This window comes from Homo sapiens, chromosome X (assembly GCF_000001405.40).
Source record: "Homo sapiens chromosome X, GRCh38.p14 Primary Assembly".
NCBI classification, from domain to species: domain Eukaryota; kingdom Metazoa; phylum Chordata; class Mammalia; order Primates; family Hominidae; genus Homo; species Homo sapiens.
This window is the reverse complement of record NC_000023.11, coordinates 80235244-80261383: the sequence shown is the minus strand read 5'-3', so window position 1 is coordinate 80261383 and position 26140 is coordinate 80235244. Positions and strand designations below refer to the sequence as shown.

General features: G+C 39.1%; 1 pseudogene across 1 annotated transcript in view; it reads left to right on the top strand.

The window, feature by feature from the left end:
- CHMP1B2P (charged multivesicular body protein 1B2, pseudogene) overlaps nucleotides 1–26140 on the top strand; it is a 106830-nt pseudogene that overhangs the window by 73935 nt on the left and 6755 nt on the right. The gene's annotated exons all lie outside the window — the stretch shown is intronic.

Sequence of the window (26140 nt, the reverse complement as noted above, 5' to 3'; positions counted from 1 at the left end):
TGGAGGGGAATCTGAAACTGAAGCTAATATTTTATTATGGAGCTTCTCTAGTTTGAACTATAAGTTCAAACTAGTAGCATCAGTATCTTCTGGGAACTTACTGTAAGTGCATATTTTTGGTTTCACCCCAGACGTGAAATGTAGCTAGAGAGAGGCAATCTGTGTTTTAATAAGCTTTCAGGTGATTCTGATGGATGCTAAAGTTTGAGAACCATTGCCTCAGTGAGATTTTGTTTATCAGATACTTTTTATCCTGCATAGTAATTTATCATTATAGCTAGTTTTTTTAGCACTTACTACATGCCAGATATTAGCCCTTGACAAACGTTATTTACTTCTCAGAGTAACCTCACAGTGTGAATGTTATTATTTTCTTTATGTTTAAGATGAAGAAACTATGTCTGACATTAAGTTACTTACCCAAGTTTATTTAGCTAATGAGTGGTGAAGCCTATATAGTAGATCATAGGTCTTCTGGGTAGATGTGTGATTTTCAACCTTGTATCTACATTAATATCACTTGGGAGCTTATAAAAATCTCCAGATCAAGTTTATACCCCAAAACAATTACATCAGCATTTCTGGTGGTTGTGCACTTCATTAACTTTGGAAATCTTTCCAGATGATTTTAATGTGCAGCCAAGATTGAGAACATTTGTTCTGTACCCTGACTGCACGTTAGAACCACCCGAAAAGCTTAAACCTTGACGCTGAATTAAACTATTTGAATCTAATTCTCTAAAATGAGGCTAAAGATTCCCAGCTGGCCAGCGAGAATTGGGAACCCCTGCTGTAGAAAATGCTTTACCACCTCTATGGGCTTTAGAGAATATGGCCTATGGAAATCTTGATTGGTACTGGATGCCTGATGGGGACAGAGATGTCAGAAGGCAGCAAAGGCAAACTGTATTCACAGTGTTGCCAAGGGCATGCCTGCCCAAAGCAGGTTTGTGCTTTCTCTAATTATGGGTGTTTCTCCTATCCTTACACCCTGTTCCCAAAGGCAAGACTCCATTTGGTCCCTTACAAAATAAGCAGTATATAGTATAAAGTGCAAGGCTCTGAAGCGTAGGCATTTGCCACCTAAGCGACCATGGGCAAATCAGGGATCCTCTTTGTCCCTCAGTGTCTTCATCTGTAAAATGTAAATAATATATTACTACCATAAAAGTCTTCAGAGGGTCATTGTGTGGACTAAGGGAGATGATTCATGTAACATGCTTAGCACATAAAGTGTAAGTGTTCACTAAGTGTTAGTCTCTGAGCTTCAGTTTCTTTATCTGTCAACTGGGGATGAAAGTACCTACTCTACCTATCTCAGAAGGCTATTGCTAGGATGGATCAAAGAACATATGTATGTGAAGAGCACTTTGTAAACTGAACTAGGCCTTATACCTATAAGAGGTTATGAGTTCTTACCATTTCCCTTAAGGCAGATATAAAGAATCATTGCCAGACAGGTTAAAGGAGTCCCTAAAGTCATTGACTCTTGGGGCAAACAAAAAGAAAAACCTTTAGAAACCACTAGTCCTACATCTTCATTGTTCAGATGATACAAATGGAATTCAGGGAGGAAGAAGGACGTGTCCAGGTCACCAGAAATTAGTGGCACAGCTCAGGGGAGATTCCAGTATTGCTGATGCTAGGTCCTAAGCTTTTGCCACCATTTCACATTCTGTACTTCATTTTGTCCCTGTCTGCCTTCCTCCCCCACCACCCCAGCTCCCAAGCCCTACTCTTCATATCCTGAGCTATAAACACAGGCTGACCTGCCATGCACCATTAAACACCAGGACTACTTCTTTTTAGAGTCCATGATATTAATGTGATTAAGATTCCCCCTCACAGGCTGTGTAAAGCACAGGAACTTAGGGATCCTTCTGAACTGAGAAGTGAAGGTTGCATATTTCTAACAGTCTGTACTTTTGGACCTCATTCAACTAGTACACACTGCTTTAGTCTCCCTAACACACTAAACAGAAAACTTGCATATATTGAACAGGATATATCTCCCCATCCTTATCTAGTTTCCAGATAAGACATGATAGTTTTTGTTTCTGGTCAGATTTGATGATAGTCTAAAAAAATTATTATTTGATGGTTAGAGGTGGGCTGAGGGGAGGATGGTGTGTTTAGTCTTAAAGTTAAGGCCAGCCTTATGCCAGATAGGGCAGAGGAATTGACTTCCCATGCCATGTTATGTGTGGTAGCTTAAAAGTCTCACTTATGAGAAACTATCTCATTGATATTTAAGGTATGGTGCCTGAAAGCCCACAACAATTTATTTATTGTCACTACCCCATTTTGTACATGAGATTCCATGTGTGGAATTGCTCAGCACCTACCTACCAATAATTTTTAAAGAGCAAAAACTAAATCCACCTGCATCCCCTTTTTCCCTCTCTGTCCCATACACTAAAAAGTTAAAAATAATAAATACATGATTTAAAAGTCAGCATCTGTAAAGATTTCCTTTACGATTAATCATGAGAACCCTTAATTTGCCCTCTATCTGTGTTACAAATTAGTTTCAGTCTGTTATAAAAGACTAAAACGAATTGATATGACCTGCAAATTAATAAAATTTATGACATTCACACTAACTTTTCTTTAAGAAGTTAACAAATAGAATCACTTTGAACATCCCCAAAGGCCTGTCCTCTCATCTTCTGCAGGCATACATAGTTTCCATGATGAAATGTTAATGTCCTGATTTCTGTTGATTTGTTCAGCAGGTACCTAGATTTATTGAGGCCATAAGAATGGCTAAACTATTTAGTAAGGAGGAAGGGTGGAGAATGCTGTTAGAAATCCTGTTTTATTTAGACCATATACATTCATAGCCCATGGATCATTTGTGTACCCTTTAATGTTTCAGCGTTTAAATTCTAAACAACTCTCCTTTGAAGCAACTGTATTCTAAGTTCTAAATATAGTTGCTTCAAAGGAGAGCCAGCTGGCAGGATATGATGACTATATGCTCACATTTTGATAGCCTGGAATCAGTGGTAAATAGGACTGGCTCTTAAGAGTCTATGTTTAAATTTTCAGAAAATGTGAGCTGGTTGACATCAAGTAGCTTGAAAATGGCTATGGTGGGAGCACACACACAACAACACATCAGGGCTTTTTCATTTTATTTGTTTTCAGAGACTCAGTTGTAAAATTTTATTAGCTTCTGCGTGGATTCAAAATGTTCATTTGTTTATTGATATATACAAGCAAACATTGTGAAAATAGCGTTTTTTACTTCCTTTCCCAGCATCAATTGTATGATATTAATCACTCCAGTTTTCACTTGATAAATGGTAGCACTGTATACCGATTTCCATCCTTTTACATTTTAACTTATTTATGTATTTATATTTGCAGTGAATTTCTTGTAGGTATATCCTCGAGTATTGTTTTTCTTTATCCAACATGACAACCTCTGCCTTTTAATTGGGGCATTAAAAGACTATGACTAATTGGGGCATTAAAAAACTATTCTCATTTAATGTTTCTAATGATATAGTTAGGCTTAAATCTACCTTTTAGTTTGTATTTCATTTGTCCCATCTCTTAATTGTACCTTTTCATTTTTTTCTGCCTTCATTTGGATTGAGCATTTTTGCGATGTCATTTTTACTCTTTTGTTGCCTTGTTAGCTATAATTTATTACAGTCTACCTTAAAATATATATTAGTTCATGTATAGTATAGGAACTTTGCCTTTGTTTACTTTCATTTTTCCCTCTCCCAGCCTTATTGCTATTGTCATATATTTTACTTCTACATATGTTTTCAATAACACATTACATTTTAATTATTTGTCTAAAGACAGTCATCTTTTAAAGACATTTAAATAAGGTATATATATATATATGTACATAGAGGGATATTTTCATGTTGTTACCATTATCACTGCTCTATATTCCATTATATAGGTACATATTTCCATCTGGTATTGTTTTCCTTCTGCCCAAATCATTTCCTTTGATGTTTCTGGTAGCTCAAGTCTGATGGTGATGAATTCTTTCAACTTTTATATATGTTAAGAAGTCTTTATTTCATTTTTGAAAAATATTTTATTTAGTGTAGTATTATAGCTTTGTATTTGTCCATTCTCACACACTACAAATACATACTTGAAATTGGGTAATTTATAAAGAAAATAGTTTTAATTTGCTCATGGTTCTGCAGGCTGTACAGGCTTCTGTTTCTGGGGATGCCTCCCGAAACTTACAATCATGGTGGAAGGCAAAGGGGAAGGAGGCATGGGTCTTATGTGGCCAGAGTAGGAGGAACAGAGAGAAGGGGGAGGTGTCACACACTTATAAACAACCAGCTCTCATGATAACTCACTCACTCTCACAAGAACAGCAAGGGGGAAGTCCTCTCCCATCATCCAGTCACCTCCCACCAGGCCCCTCATCCAACATTGGGAATTACAATTCAACATGAGGTTGGGGAGGGGGATACAAGTCCAAACCATGGACGTCCTCCCCCATGATCCAGTCACCTACCACCCGGTCCCTCATCCAATATTGGGGATTACAATTCAACATGAGATTTGGGTGGGGAGGCACAAATCCAAACCGTATCATTCTACCTTTTGCCCCTCCCAAATCTCATGTCCTTCTCACATTGTAAAACATAATAATCACTTCTCAACAGTCCCCCAAAGTCTTAATCTATTTCAACATTAACTCAAAAGGCCACACTCCAAAGTCTCATCTGAGACAAAGCAAGTCCCTTCCGCCTATGAGCCTGTAAAATCAAAAATAAGTTAGTGACTTCCAAGATACAATGTGGGTACAGGCATTGGCTAAATACTCCTGATCTAAAGGGGAAAAATTGGCCAAAACAAAGGGGCTACAGGCTCCATGCAAGTCCATAACCCAGTGGGATGGTCATTAAATCTTAAAGCTCCAAAATAATCTTTGACTCCATGTCTTACATCCAGGCCACACTGATACAAGAGGTGGGCTCCCAAGGCCTTGGACAGCTCTGCCACTATGTCTCTGCAGGGCTTAGCTCCTATGGCTGCACTCAACAGCTGGTGTTGAATGCCTGTGGCTTTTCCAGGTACGCAGTGCAAGCCATCAGTGGATCTACTATTCAAGGATCTACTATTCTAGGAAGTGTCCCAGTGGGGACTCTGTATGGGGGCTCCAACCCCACATTTTCCCTCCTTACTACCCTAGTAGAGGTTATCCCTGAGGGCTCTGCCCCTACAGCAGACTTCTGCCTGGGCATCCTGATGTTTCCATACATCCTCTGGAATCTAGGTGGAGGCTTCCAAGACTCAACTCTTGCTGTCTGCACACCTGCAGGCTTAGCACCACATAGAAGCTGCCAAGGCTTATGGCTTGTACCCTCTGGAGCAGCAGCCTGAGACATATCTGGGGCCCTTTTAGCCATGGCTAGAGCTGGAGTGTCTGGGACACAGGGAGCAGTGTCCCAAAGTTGCACAGGATAGCAGCACCCTGGGCCCGGCCAATAAAACCAGTCTTCCCTCCTACGCCTCTGGGCATATGATGGGAGGGGCTGCCACGAAGGTCTCTGAAATGCCTTGGAGGCATTTCCCCCGTTGTCTTGGCTATTAACATTTGGTTCCTCTTATGAAAATTTCTGTAGTTTTCTTGAATTCCTCCCAAGAAAATGGATTTTACTTTTCTGCCACATGGTCAGGCAGCAAATTTTCCAAAGTTGTATGCTCTGCTTTCCTTTTAAATAGAAGTTCCAGTTTCAGATCATCTTTTTGCTCATGCATATATATATACACTGTTAGAAGCAGCCAGGTTATATCTTGAATGTTTCGCTGTTTAGAAATTTCTTCTGCCAGATGCCCTAAATCATCACTCTCAAGTTTAAAGTTACATAGATCCCTAGAGCAGGGGCACAAAGATAGCAGTCACTTTGCTAAAGCATGATAGTTCCCAATAAGTGCCTCATCTCCATCTAAGACCTCATCAGCCTGCCCATCTCTGTCCATATCACTATCAGCATTTTGGTCAAAACCATTCAATAAGTCTCTAGGAATTTCAAAATGTTCCCTCATCTTCCTGTTTTTCTGAGCCCTCCAAACTGTTCGAACCTCTTCCCATGACCCAGATCCAAATTTACTTCCACATTTTCAGGTATCTTTATAGCAGAGTCCCACTCCTAGGCACCAATTTTCTGTATTTATCTATTCTCACACTGCTATAAAGAAATACCTGAAACTACGTAATTTGTAATTTAAAAAGAGGTTTAGTTGACTGATGGTTCTGCAGGCTGTACAGCCTTCTGATTCTGGGGAGGCCTGAGGAAACTTATAATCATGGCGAAAAGTGAAGGGGAAGCAGCACATCTTACATGGCTAGAGCAGGAGGAAGAGAGAGAAGAGGCAGGTGCTGTACACTTTTAAACAACCAGATCTCATGAGAACTCACTATCAGAAGAACAGCAAGGGGCAAGTCTGCCCCAATGATTCAATCATCTCCCACCAGGCCCTTTTACCAAAATTGGGGATTACAATTCAATATGAGACTTGGGTGGGGATACACATCCAAACATCAAGCTTGATTGCTGTTTTTTGTTTTTTCTTTCTATACTTTAAAGATGTTACTCCAGTGTCTTCTGTTTGCATCATTCCTGAGAAGAAAAATGCTGTCATTCTCATCTTTGTTCCTCTGTATGTATTGTCTGTTTTTTTTCTCTTGGCGAGTTTGAGATTTTCTCTGTATCACTTTTTTTTTTTTGCAATTAGATTAGGGTGTATTTCAGTGTAGTTAGTTTTCTTCATGTTTCTTATATTTGGGTGTCATTGAACTTCTTGCATGAATCTGTGAATTTGTAAATTTCATCAGCTTTAGAAAATGTTTAGCCATTATGTCTTCAAATATTGGTCTGCCTCTCCTTTCTTGAATACTGTAACTACACATATATTAGGTCTCTTGAAGTTGTCCCAGAGGTAGCTGATGTTTCTTTTCACTCTTTCAAATTCTTTATTCCTTTATGAGTTTCATTTCGAATTTTTTGTATTACTCTGTCTTCAAATTCACTAACTTTTTGTTATGAGAGGTGTAATTTTGTAATTTGCTGCTTATCCCAGCCAATGAATTTTAAATCTCAAGCATTGTAGATTTCATCTTCAGAAGTTTGACCTGGGCCTTTTTATATCTTTCATGTCTCTACTTAGCTTACTAAATATATGGAATACAGTTATAGAAACTGTTTTAACATCCCTGTATGCTAATTCTAACACTTGTTTCAATTCTGAATTACTTTTGATTGGTTGATTTCTTCTTAGGGCATGTATTTTCTTCTTTTCATGACTGCTAATTTTTGGATAGATGTCAAATGTGAATTTTACCTTTTTGGATACTGGGTATTTTTGAATTTCTATAAATATTCTTAAGCTTTATTCTGGGCCATAATTAAATTACTTGGAAAGATTTTTATTATTCTATGTATTTGTTGTCAAATTTGTTAGGGAACCAGAGTGGCCTTTAGTCTGTAGTCTAGATTCAAGTCTCATTATTCCCTACAAGTGAGGCAAGCTCAATAAGTCAATAAATCAAGCTCAGTCAATAAGTACCTTATTGACTGAATTGTGAAGTTTTCCAATCTGGTAGTAACAGGAACTAATTCTAGCCATCTATGAACACTATTTTTTTTATCTATCTTTTTTTCTCTAGTAATTTCCTTATATGCATACACTGATGAGTACTCTACTGAATATTCAAAGGGTATCTTCTGCAGTTCCCCAAAGTTATTTCTCTGCAGCTCTCTCCTCTCTGGTATTTTGTTTTGCAGACTCTACCAATTGGTTCTCTTTGGACTCTCAGCTTTCTTTCCTCAACACAGGGAGTATGTTCTGCCAGAGTTCCGTGTCCTTATTTTGTGGCCTGGAAACTCTGATGACAGTAACCTGGACAATCATAGGGCTCACCTCATTTCTTTTCCGTCTTTCAGGGATCACTATCATTTTTTGCCTGATATCCAGTGCCTTAAAAACTTGCATTTCGTATATTTTATTTGGCTCTCTTGGTTGTTTCAGGTAGGAGAGTGAATCTGGTCTCTGTTACTCCATTTTGACCAGATATGGAAGATGAGGAAACTGAATGTGATCTGATATTCAAGATAGCTGCTTTGCAGTATGTCCCTCCATGGTTATACAGGATATTGACTTCAGCGTGTATGTGGTCTTGAAGGCCACTTAGGATGAGACTGATTGCAGGAGACTAAGGATATTGGCTATGATATCTTCCATATTTATAAGGTAGGGTATGGCTTACAAAATGCCATAATATAATTTTTTTTTTACCAACATCTATTCCTTCTTTTTATAGTCACCACACATTGATTTTTTTCTGGTAAACATCCCGTTTTCACTCTCTGTCTACGTGGGTCCGGCAGGGATGACATCACTCTGAAACAAGCAGGGTTATCACATGACCCAGATCTGACCAACCAGAATCATTGCCACCTAAATCATAGATATTTAGTTTAGGGATGGGCAAATTTGTCTAGGATTTAACTCCCTAATTTTTGCTGGATCTGTTGGAACGAATCCATTTCATTCCACTGGATTTGTAGTTAGTCAGATATAGGAATAGAGCTACTGAAGGCAACCCCCATGCCCAGTCATACATACACAGAAAGAAAAATAGAGACCAACTCCTTTTGACATTTTTGAGACTCTGGATTTTCCTAGAGTTTTCAATTATGAATGAATTCCCTTTTTTTTCTAAAGCCAATTTGAGTTGGGTTTCTACCAATTGCACATAGAAAATTCTGACTCATACATAAGTGATTATTGTCAGAGATAAGGGAGATAAATAATTTCACCAATGCTTGAAATACAAAGTAGAAAGTATTCACTCCTACATGATTTCAGGGAAAAGAGAAATTGTAATAAAATATAGAAGTATGATTTATTGTGTACCTATGCTAAATATTGTATATACATGTTCTCATTTAATCCCCAGGTGAGCCTGAGTCAGTAAATATTTATTTTTATTTAATTGATAAAGAAACCTAGCCTTGGAGAGATTAGGTAATTTTCCTAAAATCATGCAGCTAGAAAATGGCAGAAGCAAAGATGTACACTCTCTGTCTTGCTTCAATGTTTTAAAACTTCATTAAATCTTCAGTGTGGCATTGAGGAATCTGAGAGGGCTTTGTGAAGAAAATGGACCTTGGAAGATGAGTGTTGGAGTAAAGAAAGGGTATTCCAGGTAGCAAGAAGGGCAAGGACAAAGGGACAATGTTAAATGTCCTGAATTTGATTATTGTACCATTATTATGTAAAATTCTGTGCTTGTTCTTTGGAAATACACACTGAAATATTTAGAAGTGAAGAGTCATGATTTTTGCAATTTACTCTTAAATGATTCAGTAGGAAAAACAAAAGAGCAATAATTACTTTTTAAAAGAAAGCTCTCATATAATTTGAAAGTAAAAAGGCATCAGTTTTCTGTATTTGACTGAAGCCACTGGCTGTAGCAAAAAAAGCCACATTTTCTTGCCCCAGGCCTTACAGCTGGAAACTGACAGGGCTGGAACAGAAACCTATGGTTCCTGCCTCTTACTCTGTTGTTTAAAAGTGGGTGTGATGACATCTAAGTTTAAGAAATTTCTTTTCATTTGTGACCTATGGAAAATGAATCCTAAAATAGGGGTGAAAATATTGCTGGCATATTTCTCAAATTTTGTTGACGAAATCATGTAGATGAAGGCTTTGCTAAATGTCTCAAGCAAATGCAACAAATATAATTTCCTCATTAAGCTAATTCACAATGCATCTTGCTACTCTTTACTATGCATGAGATGCCAGATGTTGCCAAACAGGGACTGTCAAAACATGGTGTGTCTTCTTTAGGGAACTGAATGAATCACAATTTATTTGTTTCATCTTTATTTTTTTCTCTTAAGAAACATTATTGCATTCACCCTCATATAAAATGCACAGATTGTTGTTTGAACAACGTCCAGTAAGAGAGCATTGAGAATCTCAGGCGTACATAGACAGAGTGTATATTTAATTTGGGAATATCTTCCAAATAAAATATTATTTGAAAACCTAATTGGACACATTACAAATGTATATCACTGTGATTCTTTGTAGAGAACCTTGGGAATCAGGAAAAGTTACAGATTTACAAAATGTTTTTTGCAGCACACACAAAGCATGAAATATGCCAGCCACTGTTAAGACACACACTGTTTAGTTCATAATTCCATAATAATGTGGCATTCATTAAATTGTTTTTAGAGTTTGCTTTTGATTTAAATTGGAACTCCGTATTATCTCCCTTTGATCATCATAATGCATAGTTCTCAGATGCACAAATTAAATAATTTCCCATCAGGTTATTTTTTTAAAAATGAGAGAGAGGGAAGGAGAAAACAAAACAACTTGGAAGAGTTCTCTCATTGTTCTTGGGTCTCCTTGGGTAGCCAAAGACTGAATGCCCCAGAAACTTCAAGACAGTTGGTAACTATATTGAATGTTGGAGAGTTTGTCACACGTGTGTATGTTAAATTAATTCCCTTGGACAGTGAGCAGCAAACAGATTAGGTGACCTAAATGGAACTGAAGAATGGGCTCCTGCAAATCAGTGTTGGTTAATAGAAATACATCTTGCAGGTATGTGGGGACAGGCAGCAGGGTGGAGTGACAGCAATACATGGGAGCTGAAGGGACTATTCATATCTCCTAGAGTGACTGACCTCTGTTCCCCTACATGAAAGCCAAACAAGAGGCAAACAGGAGCTGAAAGAATCAGGAAGTCACAGAGATGCATTATGCAGCACTGATAAGGATGCTTCCAAAAGTTTGATTAATGTTGGTTAGTTGATGAAAATGAGACATAGCAAAGTAGTACAGTCATGAAATCTGTCTAGCAGAGACCAGTGAAGGACAACATCTGCCTGCTTTAATTCCACTGATGTAGGGGAAAGTGGGAGAAAGAAAATGATCATATTCTCTCTATTTCCCTCCTTCTTGATAATTGATGATCTGAAAGTTTTCTTTCTTTGGCTCTTTCCTATGTGAATTACTTATCACCACTACTTGACCTCACCTCCAAGAAAATAAAAAATTAAGGAAAAATAGTACTGTGACCCCTATTACATTGCAATATGATTCTATGTGCCATAAAGGAAAACCAAGTAACAAGGCCCAGATGCTATTAACAGGACAACTGAAACCCAAGGCTTGCCCTGACTTTCTTTCCTAATCTGGTGTTTTGAGAGTAAAAAGAACAAATGAAAGAAAATGAAAAAAAGGTGAAAGAGAAAAAGAAAACCAGGGGAAAAAAAAAACTAGCAGACAATGGAAAACCTTTACTTTTTAGTCATTTTCTGCTACTCAGTTTTATCAATTGAAAATTACGGGCCATTTCCTTCCTGGACAGGCTTTCTATTTCCTCATTGGTGAAATACACTTTTGTATGCATGGTGTGCATGCTATTTATCAAGAACTTGAAATTGATCAAGAAACGGATAACAACGAATTAAATCATATTTGTGGTTGTACATTATGCTGAACCTAAAAAAGTTACTGGCAAGTCTAAGTCACTTATGTTTTTTCTTAAAATAGAAAAAACAAGGTGATTGTATTGAGGAAAGAAAAGGGAAGGCCATTAGCAGAGGATGAAAAAGTACATAAGAGGTAAAGGCTGCGAGCAAAAGAACTAGACAATTATGAGAGTTCAAATCTAGGTCCCTTAGAGTTAATTTAGTTGAATGGAAAAATCATAAGCCAGAATACCTAGACCTAGTCTGTGCTTTTGCTCACTGAAGATGTGATCTTGGATAAATCATTGAACCTTTGGCAAAGGGCCGCAGTTTCATCATACATGAAGTAGAGAATATAAGCTATTTGTTTACCTCAATTATGGAGTACCAAAAATATTTACAAAGTCCTTATTAAAAACTTAAAGCCATGGCCGGGTGTGGTGGCTCACACCTGTAATCCCAGCACTTTGGGAGGCCAAGGCGGGTGGATCACAAGTTCAGGAGATCGAGACCATCCTGGCTAACACGGTGAAACCCCATCTCTACTAAAAATACAAAAAATTAGCTGGGCATGGTGGCGGGCGCCTGTAATCCCAGCTACTCGGGAGGCTGAGGCAGGACAATGGTGTGAACCCAGGAGGTGGAGCTGGCAGTGAGCCGAGATCACGCCACTGCACTCTAGCCTGGGCAACAGAGCGAAACGCCGTCTCAAAAAAAAAAAAAAAAAAAAAATTAAAGCCATATAAATGTTAATGGTATGCTTATGATTATGATTATTTTTACCACACTGATAAAGCTCCCTTTGAGCAGGTGAGAAGCTAGGTCTTGTCCTGCTCTGGAGCCAACAGAAGCTAGAATAAAACAGCTAATGTTACTTAAATACTTGTCAGGGGTCAAGAACTGCAGTAAGCCCTTCGTGTGCATCAAATCATTTAATCATTACAACTCTCTAAACTAGAAATATCGTTAGCCTCAGTTTATAGATAAGGAAACAGAATCAGTGATTTGCCCAAAGTCATATGTCTAGGAAGTGGCAAAGCTGTGATATTTTAGGCCTATGTCAGTTACCCTAAATTTGCTGCTTCCAAATTGAGATGGAGAACCCAGGTTAGATCAGGTTTCCTGAATGGAGTGCACTATTATCAGAGCCGCCCTAAGGAAAGTGGTTCCCATTTGGGGATTCCTTTCTTCAAATAATGCCTATTAGTATTAATGTGATAAACTCATTCATGCTGAGATGCTATTCCTTCCAAGAGTCTAAAGAGAGTAATGCTTAACCTGTAGAATGAAGTAATAGCAGTAGTATTAAAGACCTTGGAAGGAGAAGGAAGGAAGAGAAGGAAACTGAAGGAAGTGGAAGGATTTTGTGGCAGGGCCTTTTTCAAATCATGCTTATATAGACAGTTGCCTCCTATATCTACATTTATGCATGTTCTTAGCTCTTCAGAACATTAACATTAGTATTTTCTTAGCTTTCTAGGGTACAACATATTCATCTGGATTAGAATTATGCTCTGACTCTACTAACTGTGTACCCTCAGAGGAGTGTTAAACTCTCCTGAGCTTTGGCCTGTTTGCAAAACAAAAAGTAATTATTACCTTAAGGAGTTGTTTTGAGGATTAGATGAGACAATGTATGTCAAAGTGCCTGTTTCGTGCTGTTGTTCCTTTAATAACAATAACAATAACAGCTAACAATTTTATAGTATTTACTATGTATCAAACATTGTTATAAGCACTTAATTCCCATTAACTTACATAATCACAATGACCCTGTGAAGTAGATACTATTATTATTCCCACATTATAGATGAGGAAACTGAAGCACACAGGAATTGACATGCCTGAGGTCACACAGCTGTGAAGTTTCAAATAAGCAGCTTGGCTCTCCGATTGTTGCCTACCTCTAAGAATTTTCAAAAAACAAATCCATAAAAGAAAGGAAATTAAAGTTTTGAGTGATGAAAACACAGTTGGATTCTGTCTTACTGCTGAAGCTGAAGATTTTTGAAAGCACAATGGGTAAGCTCAGCAGTATCTTTTTAAAAAAATGAACAACAGCAACATTAACATAGATAACATTTATAAAGCCTTTCCTACGTACTAGGTCCTATAGTACCTCTCAGTAACCCTGACCTATAAAAATTCAATAGGTATTAATATTTGCTATCATGATTATAAAGCTCACAATCTAGTAGGATAAATACAACATGTATTAAATAATTAGAATACAAACTAGAAAGTGCAAAGTGATAAGAAACATTAAGAGAAAGTGATATTGGAGTTCAGAAGCAAGAGAGTCACTTTAAAGGTGAGAACTTACATGCTGCAGACAACTAAAGAAGGTTTAAAAGGGAACACAGTTTACAAGAAGAACTTGAAGACAAGGTAAGGTTTGCAAGATGAAGAACAGGAAGGGGAGACGAATTCTGAATAGAAGACACAGAGACAGTGAAATGAACAGAATGTTTTGGGAACAAATAAATCATTTTGTTTGTGAAGGGGGCTATAGGAGATAAAGTCAGCAAATTAGGATGAAGTTTGAAGGGTGGGAGATTTGAAAGTAAGGCTAATGACTCTGAACCTCGTTATGTGGGAAACAGGGAGGTATTGGATACTTTTTTAAATGCTCTTGTCAAGAAAGAGTTCAACTTCAGGAAAATTAATGCAACAAATGTGGAATGGATTAGATTAGAGGAGAAGGTAATAAAGGCAGGGAATCGGTCAGGCACAGTGGCTTACACCTGTAATCCCAGCACGTTGGGAGGCCGAGGGGGGCAGATCACTAGGTCAGGAGTTCAGACCAGCCTGGCCAACATGGTGAAACCCTGTCTCTACTAAAAATACAAAAATTAGCTGGGTGTTGTGGTGGGTGCCTGTAATCCCAGCTACTTGGGAGGCCGAGGCAGGAAAATTGCTTGAACCTAGGAGACGGAGGTTGCAGTGAGCCGAGATGGCGCCACTGCACTTCAGCCTGGGCGACAGAGCAAGACTCCATCTCAAAAAAAAAAAAAAAAAAAAAAAAATTCAGGGAATCTAGTTAGGTGGTTATTGTTGTAATCAGTTGACTTTGATGTACAGAGAAAGAGAGGCTTTGTTTCTGTGCCAAGGGATTGATTCAAATATTTCGTCAAATGCATTTACTAATTCTTACTATGTGCCAAGCACTTGTTGAGTTGAGCAGAATCCCTCTCCTGGAGGGGCTTAGTAAATTATAATTTAGTAATTGTAACTTTAAAACTCTGAAGCACATTCTATGAAAAAGAAGCATTGATAAACAGCATAAGATTGTGTTTTTTCAGGAAGCAATTTCAACTGTGCAGTCAGAGAGAAATAATTACTTAATAGAGACAGACAATATTCAAGCATGCAAATACTCATAAATACCCTGCTGCAACCCGTACTTAAATCCTGTATCCAGTAGATGGCGATTATAAGCTTTCATCTAGGCAACAAGTACCTTTCATCTCTTAGGATGCAGAAAGGAAAAGAGGAATGAAAGAGAATGGGAAGCAAGGGGAGAGGGAGAGGATAAGAAAAGGGAAGAAATGAAAGAATGTGGAGAAGGAGTGGGAGATTGGAGGGTGACAGAAGCTACACTTGCTGTTCAGAAGTCTCCCTAAGACATGCTTAGTTCAGCTCCATCTTTTCTGCAGTTAAATATGCAGTTAGCCTTGCTTGTGAGGAAGAAGTTTGTATTGCCTTCCAGGCAGATACCCATGAAGAGAGTATTCCTGTTCCATAATCCCTCCAACTGAGTTTAATAAAGAGAAGGCATAGCTGTGTTTGAAATACGTTGCACAGGCATTTTGACCCTTTGTAGCAAGAAATGTGGCTTGAAATATCTCCTAATTATTTTGCTCCCCAGGTATCTATCTCTTTCTTTCTAGTTCAGCTGAAAATCCTACCAGAGGAAGAGCAAAGTTGGAATGAAAAGTTCCCAATAAATTACTACAGGCATTTACTAAAGGCAGAAAAAAAAAGAAATACTGGTCAAGCTGACCTTTTTACAACCAGGTAGGGACCATCTCCAAAGGGAGAATCAGGCGTGAAAAAAATCCGACTTGTATGTTAGGTGTGTTCCATTAATGGATTGAGAATTATAGGGCTAAAGGTGAATAGGGAAAGAAGAAGAAAATAGAAGACCATCCTGCTTCTTTCTTAGGGAATGTGAATTCCTTCTACTTCCTTTTAGTGCAGTCAGAATATCTTGAGTTGCCATTGGATCCATACTCCTGAAAAGAAATGGAAAGATAAGGGGTTCAGAGGCTTAGAGAAATTTGTCAAGATATCCTAATTATTTTCTACTGGAAATTTCTGTAGGTCAGAAGTTCAACATGGGTTTCACCGGGCTAAAATCAAGGGCTATGCCCCCTTCTGGAAGCTGTAGGGGAAATTCTATTTTGTTGCCTTCTCCAGCTTCTAGAAGACACCTGTATTACTTGGTTCATGACTCCCTTCTGTCATATTTAGAGCCATCAATATTGCGTATCTCTGACCATTCTTCTTTGGTCACATCTAATCACAGCCCACAGAGTTCTCCCAATTTTAAGGATGTGTTGTTTTATTGGACTCACTCAGATAATCTAGGCTAATCTCATTGTTTCAGTCTACCTTATGATACTATAACAGAACACCTGAAACTGGGTAATTTATAAAAAAGCATATATTTATTTCTTACAATTTTGAGGGCTGGGAAGTTCAGAGTTGAGGGGCCTCATCTGTCAGGGCCTGCTTGTTCCGTTATCCCATGGTGGAAGGCAGAGGACAAGAGAGCAGGAAAAAGAGAGAAAGAGACTCATGGAGGGAGGGAGGGGTATATATAGAGATAGAAAATGCTAGCACAAGGCAGGTTGAATTCATTTTTATACCAAACCAATTCCTCTGATAATGACATTAATCCTCATGGATGGATTAATCACCACTTAAAGATCCCATATTTAAACACTGTTGCACTGAGAATTAAGCTTCCAACACATGGACTTTGGGAGACACATTAAAACCATAGCACTTATCTCAAGGTTTGTAACATTAATCATATCTGTAACAAAGCCCTTTTGCCATGTAAAGTAACATATTCACATGTTCTAGGGATTGGCAGAGGGAGAGAGAAGGATGGAGGGAGGCAGGAGAGAGAGAGAGAGAGAGAGAGAGAAAGAGAGAGAATGAATAACAAGTTCACATAATAGATGACCAAATATTGTAGTCTAGTATTATTATTCAACAGAACTTCTTGGAAGTAGGTATAGTAGGTCAGTCAGACAATCAGACAGGTATTTTGAATGCCTCTAATTAGAAGGCCATTATTTTTGGTGGTATAAACTTGACAGTGATAGATGAAGGTTAAGGGTAAATTAAAAAATAAATAAAAAGGTACAGTAGTCCTGCCTAATGTCGCACTAGATGGGATGATAATATTTATTCATCAGTTGCTAACTGTCTGGTATTATTCTAAGCATTTTACATGAAAACCTCATTTAGTCCTTCAAACTAACTTATACCCATTTTACAGATGAGGGAAATGAGATAGAAGTTATTTGACCAAGACCACACACTTATAAATGGTAGAATCAAGAACCCATCTGACTGACTCTGGAGTTCACGTTCTTAACCACTATATTCTACTGCTTCTAAGATAATTTGGCCTTTAATAAAGAACTAAAGAAAATTATACAACCATTTCTAAAAACCAAATAAACATGTGTAGCCCATAATGGTCTCCTGATTGTTAAGGGATAGTATTTCTTGTGTTGACTTTGAACAAAAATATGATTTTAAAGTATATCATTTTTACCCCCTTTCAAAGTTGGATAACTTGAAATAACCTTAAAGATTCCTTTATATTCAACTGGCATTTGTCTTAATTGCTATGTTAGCATCCATTCCCTACCAGGGATGATGAGAGGTAGCAGAAAAACAATTTTCTCCAGTACAATAGTTTCTGCCAATTTCATTTGAATGAGTTTCTCTGCATCCCTTCTAGGACAAAGCTTAAAGGCAAATGATGTGTTTGCAAGCCAAAGATGAGTGTAAAGTGGCTGATATAGGCATAACTCAGAGACATAGTATGTTGGGTTCCAGACCACTACTATAAAGTGAATATCACAATAAAGTGAGTCACAAAATATTTTTTAGTTTCCCATTGCATATAAAAATTATGTTAATGGCTGGGCACGCTGGCTCACGCCTGTAATCCCAGCACTTTGGGAGGCCGAGGTGGGCGGATCATGAGGTCAGGAGATCGAGACCATCCTGTCTAACACGGTGAAACCCCATCTCCACTAAAAATACAAAAAAAAAATTAGCTGGGCATGGAGGCGGGCGCCTGTAGTCCCAGCTACTAAGGAGGCTGAGGCAGGAGAATGGTGTGAACCGGGAGCTGGAGCTTGCAGTGAGCCAAGATCACACCACTGCACTCCAGCCTGGGCAACAGAGCGAGACTCTGTCTCAAAAAGAAAAAAAAATTATGTTTACAGGCCAGGTGTGATAGCTCACACCTGTAATCCCAGCACTTTGGGAGGCCAAGGCGGACAGATCACCTGAGGTCAGGAGTTCGAGACCATCCTGATCAACATGGAGAGACCCCATCTCTACTGAAAATACAGAATTATTTGGGCGTGGTGATGCATGCCTGTAATCCCGTCTACTCGGGAGGCTGAGGCAGGAGAATCACTTGAACCAGAGAGCCAGTGGTTGCAGTGAACTGAGATCATGCCATTGCACTCCAGCCTGGGCAACAGCAGTGAAACTCCACCTTAAAAAAGAAATAAAAAAAATTATGTTTACACTATACTGTAGTCCATTAAGTGTGGAGTAGCATTATGTCTAAAAAAATGTACATACTTTAATTTATAATACTTTATTGCTAAAAAATTGTAACACTCCTCTGAGCTTTCCGCAAGTCATAATCTTTTGCTGGTGGAGGATCTTGCCTCATTGATGGCTGCTAACTGATCAGGGTAGTGGTTGCTAATGATTGGGATGGCTGTGACAATTTCTTAAAATAAGACAATGATGATGATTGCCACATTGATTGACTCTTCCTTTTATGAAACATTTCTCTGTAGCATGGGATGCTGTTTGACAGCATTTTACCCACAATAAAACTTAGAATCTAAGTTGGAGTCAATCCTCTCAAATCCTGCTGTTTTATTAATGAACTTCATGTGATATTCTAACTCATTTGTTATAATTTCAACAGTGCTCACAGAATCTTACCCAGGAGTAAATTCCATTTCAAGAAACCACTTTCTTTGCTCATCTATAAATAAGCAACTCCTAATCTATTAAAGTTTTATTGTTAGATTGTAGCAATTCAGTCACATCTTCAGGCTCTCCTTCTAACTCTAGGACACGAAAACAACATAAATCTCCCTGTATATCTCTATTAGTGCTCTTGGGTGACTAAATGCATTGTCAGGGAGAAATAATATCTTGAAAGGAATCTTTTTTTTTTTTTTCTGAGAAGCAGGTCTCAACAGTGCACCTAAAATATTCGCTAAACCATGTTGAAATCAGATGTTCTATCATTCAGGCTTTGTTGTTCCATTTAGAGTGCAGAGGCAGAGAAAATTTAGCATAATTCTTAAGGGACCTGGGATTTTCTGAATGATAAATGAACATTGACTTTAAGTTAAAATCAGCAGCTCCATTAGTCCCTAATAAGAGTCAGAATGTTCTTGGAAATTTTGAAGCTAGGCATTGACTTCTCCTCTCTAGTTATGAAATTCCTGGATGTCATCTTCTTATAATAGAAAACTGTATTGTCTGCACTGAGTATTTGTTGTTTACTCTAGCCACCTTCATCAATTGTATTAGCTAGATTTTCTGGATAACTTGCTGTGGCTTCTACATCAGTACTTGCTGCATCACCTTGCACTTTTATGTTATGGAAACAGCTTCTTCCCTTAAACCTATGAACCAACCTCTGCTACCTGTATGCTTTTCATCTGCAGCTTCCTTGCCTCTCTCAATTGTTAATCGGGAAAAGTATGAATTAGAAAAGGAGAAGAGACTTTATTTCTTATAAGGCATATAGCCTAAAAGGTGGCCATCCCACAGGCTGGGAAGCACAGCCTGCAGCCAAGACCAGAAACAAGCACTTCAAAGAAGGAGGGGTTGGAGTAGGAAGTTTATGCTAAAGAGGCTAGCTAAACATACATACTTGACAGGTTACAGGAGGAGCTTTGAATATTCATGAAGGTGGTCCTGACACTTCCATACTGAAGAAACATGCATGTAACATATAACTAATGTTCACTTTGGGGTGGAGAAAACATTTAAATTTATTACAATTAGGTACTATACATCAAAAAGTCTTTTCAGGACATGAAGGCACATGAGTGTGCAACCTCTGAAAACTGGCCAGAGCCAGTCCATGGTCAGTGGTCTCCTTACCAAGATAAAGTTATTGAAATCAGTCTCTTTTCCAGTGAAATCTATAGTTGTGGCTAGTAGAACAGAGGTTTGGTTAGCATCTGTGAACTGGATGAGTTGTAATTGTTTTAATATTGCCTATCTCGAGGCTAGTGCTTGTTTAGTTGCTAGAGAAAAAGAAAAACCTTGTGGCAGTTAGAACATAGTTTATTCTTTACATTTAAGGGTATGTGACTTAACCATTGTCTGGCATGGGCTTAGGTCCCTTATAATTTGGTATCCTATTGCCAAAAAGAGTGTGTTCCATCAGTCTTATGATCTCTATTTTGGCATAAATGTTGGTCAGTTGTTGTGTCTAATCTGCAAAAGGGAGGAAGTATAAGGAAGCCTGTCTGACCTCCTGTCCCATCATAACTGGGAACTTATTTTTAAGGTTTTTCTGGGGTCCCTTGGCCACAGTGGGGTCCATTCAGTCAGTGGGGGGCTTAGAATTTTATTTTTAGTTTACACAGCCTACATATCATTGAAGAGATTTAGGGTCTTGCTCTGAAGTAGGCTTTGACTTGAGGGAATGTTGGGGATTGTTTGATCTTCTATGCAGACCGCTGAAACCACCTCCATATCAGCAACAAGGCTGTATTTTTCTTATCATTCATGTGTTCACTGAAGTAGGATTTCAGTAACTTTTCTTTGCATTCACATCTTAGCCGTTTGCCACAAGAGGCCTAGCTTTTGATCTGTCTTGGCTTTCAACATGTCTTCCTCACTAAGCTTAGTCATGTCTAGCTTTGATTTAAAGTAAGAAATGTACAACTCTTCCTTTCACTTGAACACTTACAGTCCATTGTAGGATTATTTATTGGCCTAACTTCAATATTATTGCATCTCAAGGAACAGAGAGACCTGAGGAGAGGAAGACAGATAAGGGAATAGCCCGTCAGTGCAGCAGTCAGAGCACACACAGCATTTATAGATTAAGTTTGCCATCTTCTTCTTCTTATTATTATTATTATTATTTTGAGATGGAGTCTCACTCTGTCACCCAGGCTGGAGTGCAGTGGCACAATCTCGGCTCACTGCAACCTCCACCTCCCGGGTTCAAGCAGTTCTCCTGCCTCAGCCTCCCAAGTAGCTGGGACTACAGGCGCACGCTGCCACACCCGGCTAGCTTTTTTTTGTATTTTAGTAGAGATGGGGTTTCACCGTGTTACCCAGGCTTGTCTCGAACTCTTGAGCTCAGGCAATCTGCCCGCCTCGGCCTCCCAAAGTGCTGGGATTACACGCATGAGCCACCGTGCCTGGCCCACCGTCTTATAAGAGTGTGGTTCATGGTACTCCAAAACAATTATAATAGTAACGTTAATTATAATCAATCACAAATCATAACATATAATAATAATGAAAACATTTGAAATATTATGAGAATTACCAAAATGTGACACAATGACACAAAGTGAACACATGCTGTTTGAAAAATGGTGCAAATAGACTTGTTTGATACAGGGTTGCCACAAAGCTTCAACCTAAAAAATGCTATCTTTGCATAGCACAATAAAGTGAAGTCAATAGAGTGAGGTATGCTTGTATTTACTTGCCACACAAATTAGAGCTAAGTTTAAGGATAGAGGAAATGATCTATACAATGTCTATCCTTAAGACAATAAAGGTCAATTTTTTAGACTTCCACTTGCTAAGTATAACTCTACTATTCCTGGATATCATGGCCTGCCATTCTCAAAGTAAAAGGTGAATAGCATGAGGCCCTATTAAACCAGCCCTGGGTTCTCACAGGTATTGGTAATGAGAAATAATACAGAAAATACGTCTAGTCAATTATTTTTTCCATCAAGATAGAATTATTTATTAAATAAAATAATTATTGTTTAAATTACTTACATTATTAAATATTTATATCCCATTTATCACAAGTAACTATTGGTTAATAATTTTTAGAAGACAATATGTGATTTCTCTGCTCATGCCCCCAGCACACCACAGCTTCCTTACAGAGAGGAGACCAGTCTGTCTCCCCTGTGAGCCTCTGACACACTGCTCTTCACCAGGCAGGGCCCCTCGCTTGGGCCCATAGTACAGCCACCCCACCCTGTTACAGTAGGTAGCTTAGTCAGACATGAGCAGAGCAGGAGAGAGCTCTGCCCTCCCCTCCCCTACCACACACACACCAGGAATGTCAGGCGACCATCAAGTGATGGTCAGGTGGTTAACTGTCTCTCTAAAATAATAATTGGTCACAGCTGAAACCAGGGAAAGGCAGTCTCCCAATAAATAGAAAAAAACCTGAAACTGGTGATCAGCATCCCAATAAGATCTCAGGAGTCAGGCAAGTGGCTCAGGCATGTACACTAAGAACCAAAATGGTTCAATTTAACCGGTATATGACCTCCCTCTAGGAATACTATACTGGTAAGGGAAGTTGATATGGTTTAGCTGTGTCACTACCCAAATCTCATCTTGAATTGTAGCTCCCACAATTCCCATGTGTTATGGGAGGGACTCTGTTGGAGATAATCCATTTCTGCCATACTGTACTCCTGGTAGTAAATAACTCTCATGAGATCTGATGGTTTTATAAGGGGTTGCCCCTTTTGGTTGGCTCCCATTCTCTCTTGCCTGCCACCATGTAAGGCATGCCTTTTACCCTCCGCCATGATCGTACGGCCTCCCCTGCCATGTGGAACTGTGAGTCCATTAAACCTCTTTTTCTTTATAAATTACCCAGTCTTGGATATGTCTTTATTAGCAGCATGAAAATGGACTAATATAGGAAGCATGCCTAAAGTGAACATGTGTACAACTCTAGTAAACATACTGTGCCTGTGGCCCCTCCCAAATGTGAGCAGGCCACTGCACATGTGGATAGTGCGTTGCAAGGGAAGAATCAGGGGAGAAGGGACGCAAGAACCTGGAAACATGCCAGCATATAAAACCCCAAGTCAAAAGGTCAGATTATACACTTGATCTCTCAAGTCACCTGCTTAGCCCTCTCCAAGTGTATTTTACTCCCTTTCATTCCTGCTCTAAAGCTTTTTAATAAACTTCCATTTCTGCTCTAAAATTTGCCTTGGTTTCTCACTCTGCCTTATGACCTTGGTTAAATTCTTCTGTGGAGGCAAGGATTGAGGTTGCTGCAGATCCATACAGATTTGCTGCCAGTAACATATTTTGGTGCTATGAGACTCAGGTACTTTTTACCACTAACATACTTTGGTGCTGAGTGACTTGGATATGGATACGTTCCCTAGTGGTAAGAGACCTCTATACCCCGCCTTCTTTGGCTGGAGGTATTCAACCCCTGTATACCTTTTTTCTTCTCCCTTTCTCTCTCCTGCTTACTAACCAACCCCAAAAATGATTCCTCTCAACCAAAAGTGGCTCTCCTCACCCTGGCTTATCTCTCAGCTCACCCTGAGGAGTGGCTTGTGGGAGTAGGAAGGACATTGGGGTATGCACCAAGTAGAAATGAGGCACTAATGGCCCTCCTGGACAGGAGGCTCACAAGAGTGGTAGGGCTAGCACTCAAAACTGTGCAATGTCTGGGGTTTCTTCTGCTTTTTCAACTAAAATGGTCTCTTTCTCAAACACCCACACTGCCTATTGCCGTGCTTTTTCTGTGTGTGTTCTGAAACGGCCTTGCACACTCTGGACCAACCACCCCAGGGTCAAATCCACCTCTTTGCATGCCATGTGACTTCTTAAACAGATACTGCCTGTTATTCATGCACCTGCAGCTCTTGCTGCATTTGCACAGCATCAAAGACACAGGCTGCCTTCCAGATATCCCCTGAGATTTATACTTGTTTTTACCCTACCAGTTCAGATGACCTCCAGCCCTTCCCCTGTCTGCTAGCACATTGCTGGGACAGACACTAATTGAAACTCAGGCTCTGCCAGCTCCTTATGACTTACCATATGCTTTTCATTCCTGTTATGCCAAGGGCTTCATTTTCTGGTGGCTTTTGAAGCAGTTTGTCCACCAGCATATGGCCTCACTCTGGCCCTTTAAGATCCCACCCACTTGCTTTTTTTGAGTCAGCATCTTTTTGGGAGGAAGGGAAATTCTCCCTTTGCAATTTGTATGTTCTTACCTCAAACCCCAAGTACTCCAAAGGTTACCATTTTGTATCAAGAGGGCAAATAAACGTTGCCCTCTCAAATCCAAGTGCTGCTATTTTTGCGAGCATATGAAGGCACTCCATGAGTATTCCTCATGGGGAAGGGAAGGTCAGCCCCCTTGTGGCAGTTTACTGAAAAATAAGCTTCTCCTTTACTTAAAGAACATGGGAATTGGGAATCCGAGAAAAGCGATAATTATTTTGTTGTTAGAATGCACTGAATGAGAGTCACTATAAGTTCATGAAGACAAGGATATAGGCAAGCCCAAGGCTGCAAGCACAAGAGACCAATAGGATAGAGACGAAGGTTGGTCCCAGGCTGACAAATTACTATTAAAACAGAGATGATAGCAAGGTTAGGGGTACAGAGTAAGACGAGTTCATCATGGAACCCCAAGGATGAATAGTTTGCCCACTGTTCACTCCAGTATATCAAGTTCTCAAGTGGGTAATTGTGATGAGTTGAGACTAAGGTTAAGGGTACACAGTAAGACTGATTCATTTGAGAACCCTAAGGAAGAATGGGGAATGCCCTATTAAGGATCAGAGGAAAGTAAGAGGGCATACCTTTTTCCCTTTTTTCCTTTTCTCTTCAGTTCTCTCTTCACAGATGGGTAATCATGTCTCCATACCACAAGACATGCCTCTCAGATCCCCTCAGATGCATCCCCCAGAACTGGGAAGTGTGATTTCTCCAAACCTTAAACAACTAGTTTTCCTTTGTAATACTATTTGGCCTATAAAATAAATGGAGGAAATAACAAAAGTCAGCCTTAGAGCCTGGTGCCCTTATACAGGAAATCCTCAAATTAGCCTCCTCTATCTCTTATAACTGAGAGTAGAATAAGGAGTACAGGGCCAAGGAAAAGGAGAAACACAGGGAAAGGAGGCAGACTCAACTGTTGGCTGCCCTGCAAGCCCACCAGCCCCCTTCAAATTGCCCTAAGGACAGTCCTCTAGGTAACTGCTATTGGGGCAGGAAGCCAGGCCACTGGAAGGCAAACTGTCCTAATGGAATAAATGGGAAAAAGCTGTGCATGACTTGCCCCCTCTACCACAAGCTCAGCCACTGGAAATGGGACTGTCAAGAGGGCCAAATGGCCTCTGGAACAGAATCCCAACTCCTGATGGCCTTCAGCTGAAGGGGCTCTCTGCTCTGTCTGGCTTCTAAATCAGACATCAGTGTCATCAATGGTACTACAAAGCCAAGGGCAACTCTGGAGGTGGCAAGTAAAATTATAAATTTCTCTTTTGGGTTCAAGAGCTGACTACTCTGTGCTAATTCTCCCCTAAGCAACTCTCTTCCAAATCCTGTTGGGTAACACGGGCATATAGCACCACCTCCCTCCAAAAGAAAAGATTCACATCTCTTTGGGGCAAAACCTCTACAGTACACAGATAAACTCCTTATCTTCTGCCCTTCACAGGACTTATACAGTAACATGTAGTTCAAACCATAACTTCCTAACAGAAGTAAAATTATTTTTGTCTAATCCAAAGGTTATAAAGGTAAAGGTATTTCTGGTAAGGAAAGTTATAAAGAAAAAGATTTTGTATTAAAAAAAAGGATCTTGTATGGTAAGTTATTGTCCTAAAATAAAATGACTTGTTGTTTAAAAAGAGGGATTTTAGGACAAGTCAGAAAGTCGAAGCATGTTATAGGTGGTCTGTGTAAGTTATGAAAAAAATCATGAAACAGAAGTTATAAAAATGTACAATTTTAAAGGGTATTTGGTCTACTAAATGCTCCATAAACTGCTACTATTACTTAACTGTACAAATTGCCTGCTTTAAACCTAGGTAACGAATGGGGACACACAGAGTTAGCCATGCCTCTAGCTATACTGGAATCAAACCTTATCTGCACTTCTGTCTGGTGTCCTAGGCTCCAAACCTAGTACATAATTAGAATCACTTATTTATCAAGTTTTTCACCAAAAGTAAAAGTTGCTAAGAGTTAACAGTGTAACATGTACTTGAGATTGCTGGAAAAACAGCTGTACATGCCTGGTTTAGAGGGTTAAATGATTATTTTAAGTTAGATAGGATAAAGTTGAATATTTAAGCAAGTTGTGAAAGTTTTTTGAAAGATTAATCTTGTAAAATAAAATCTGTATGTAAACATATTGCCTAAAGTTAAAG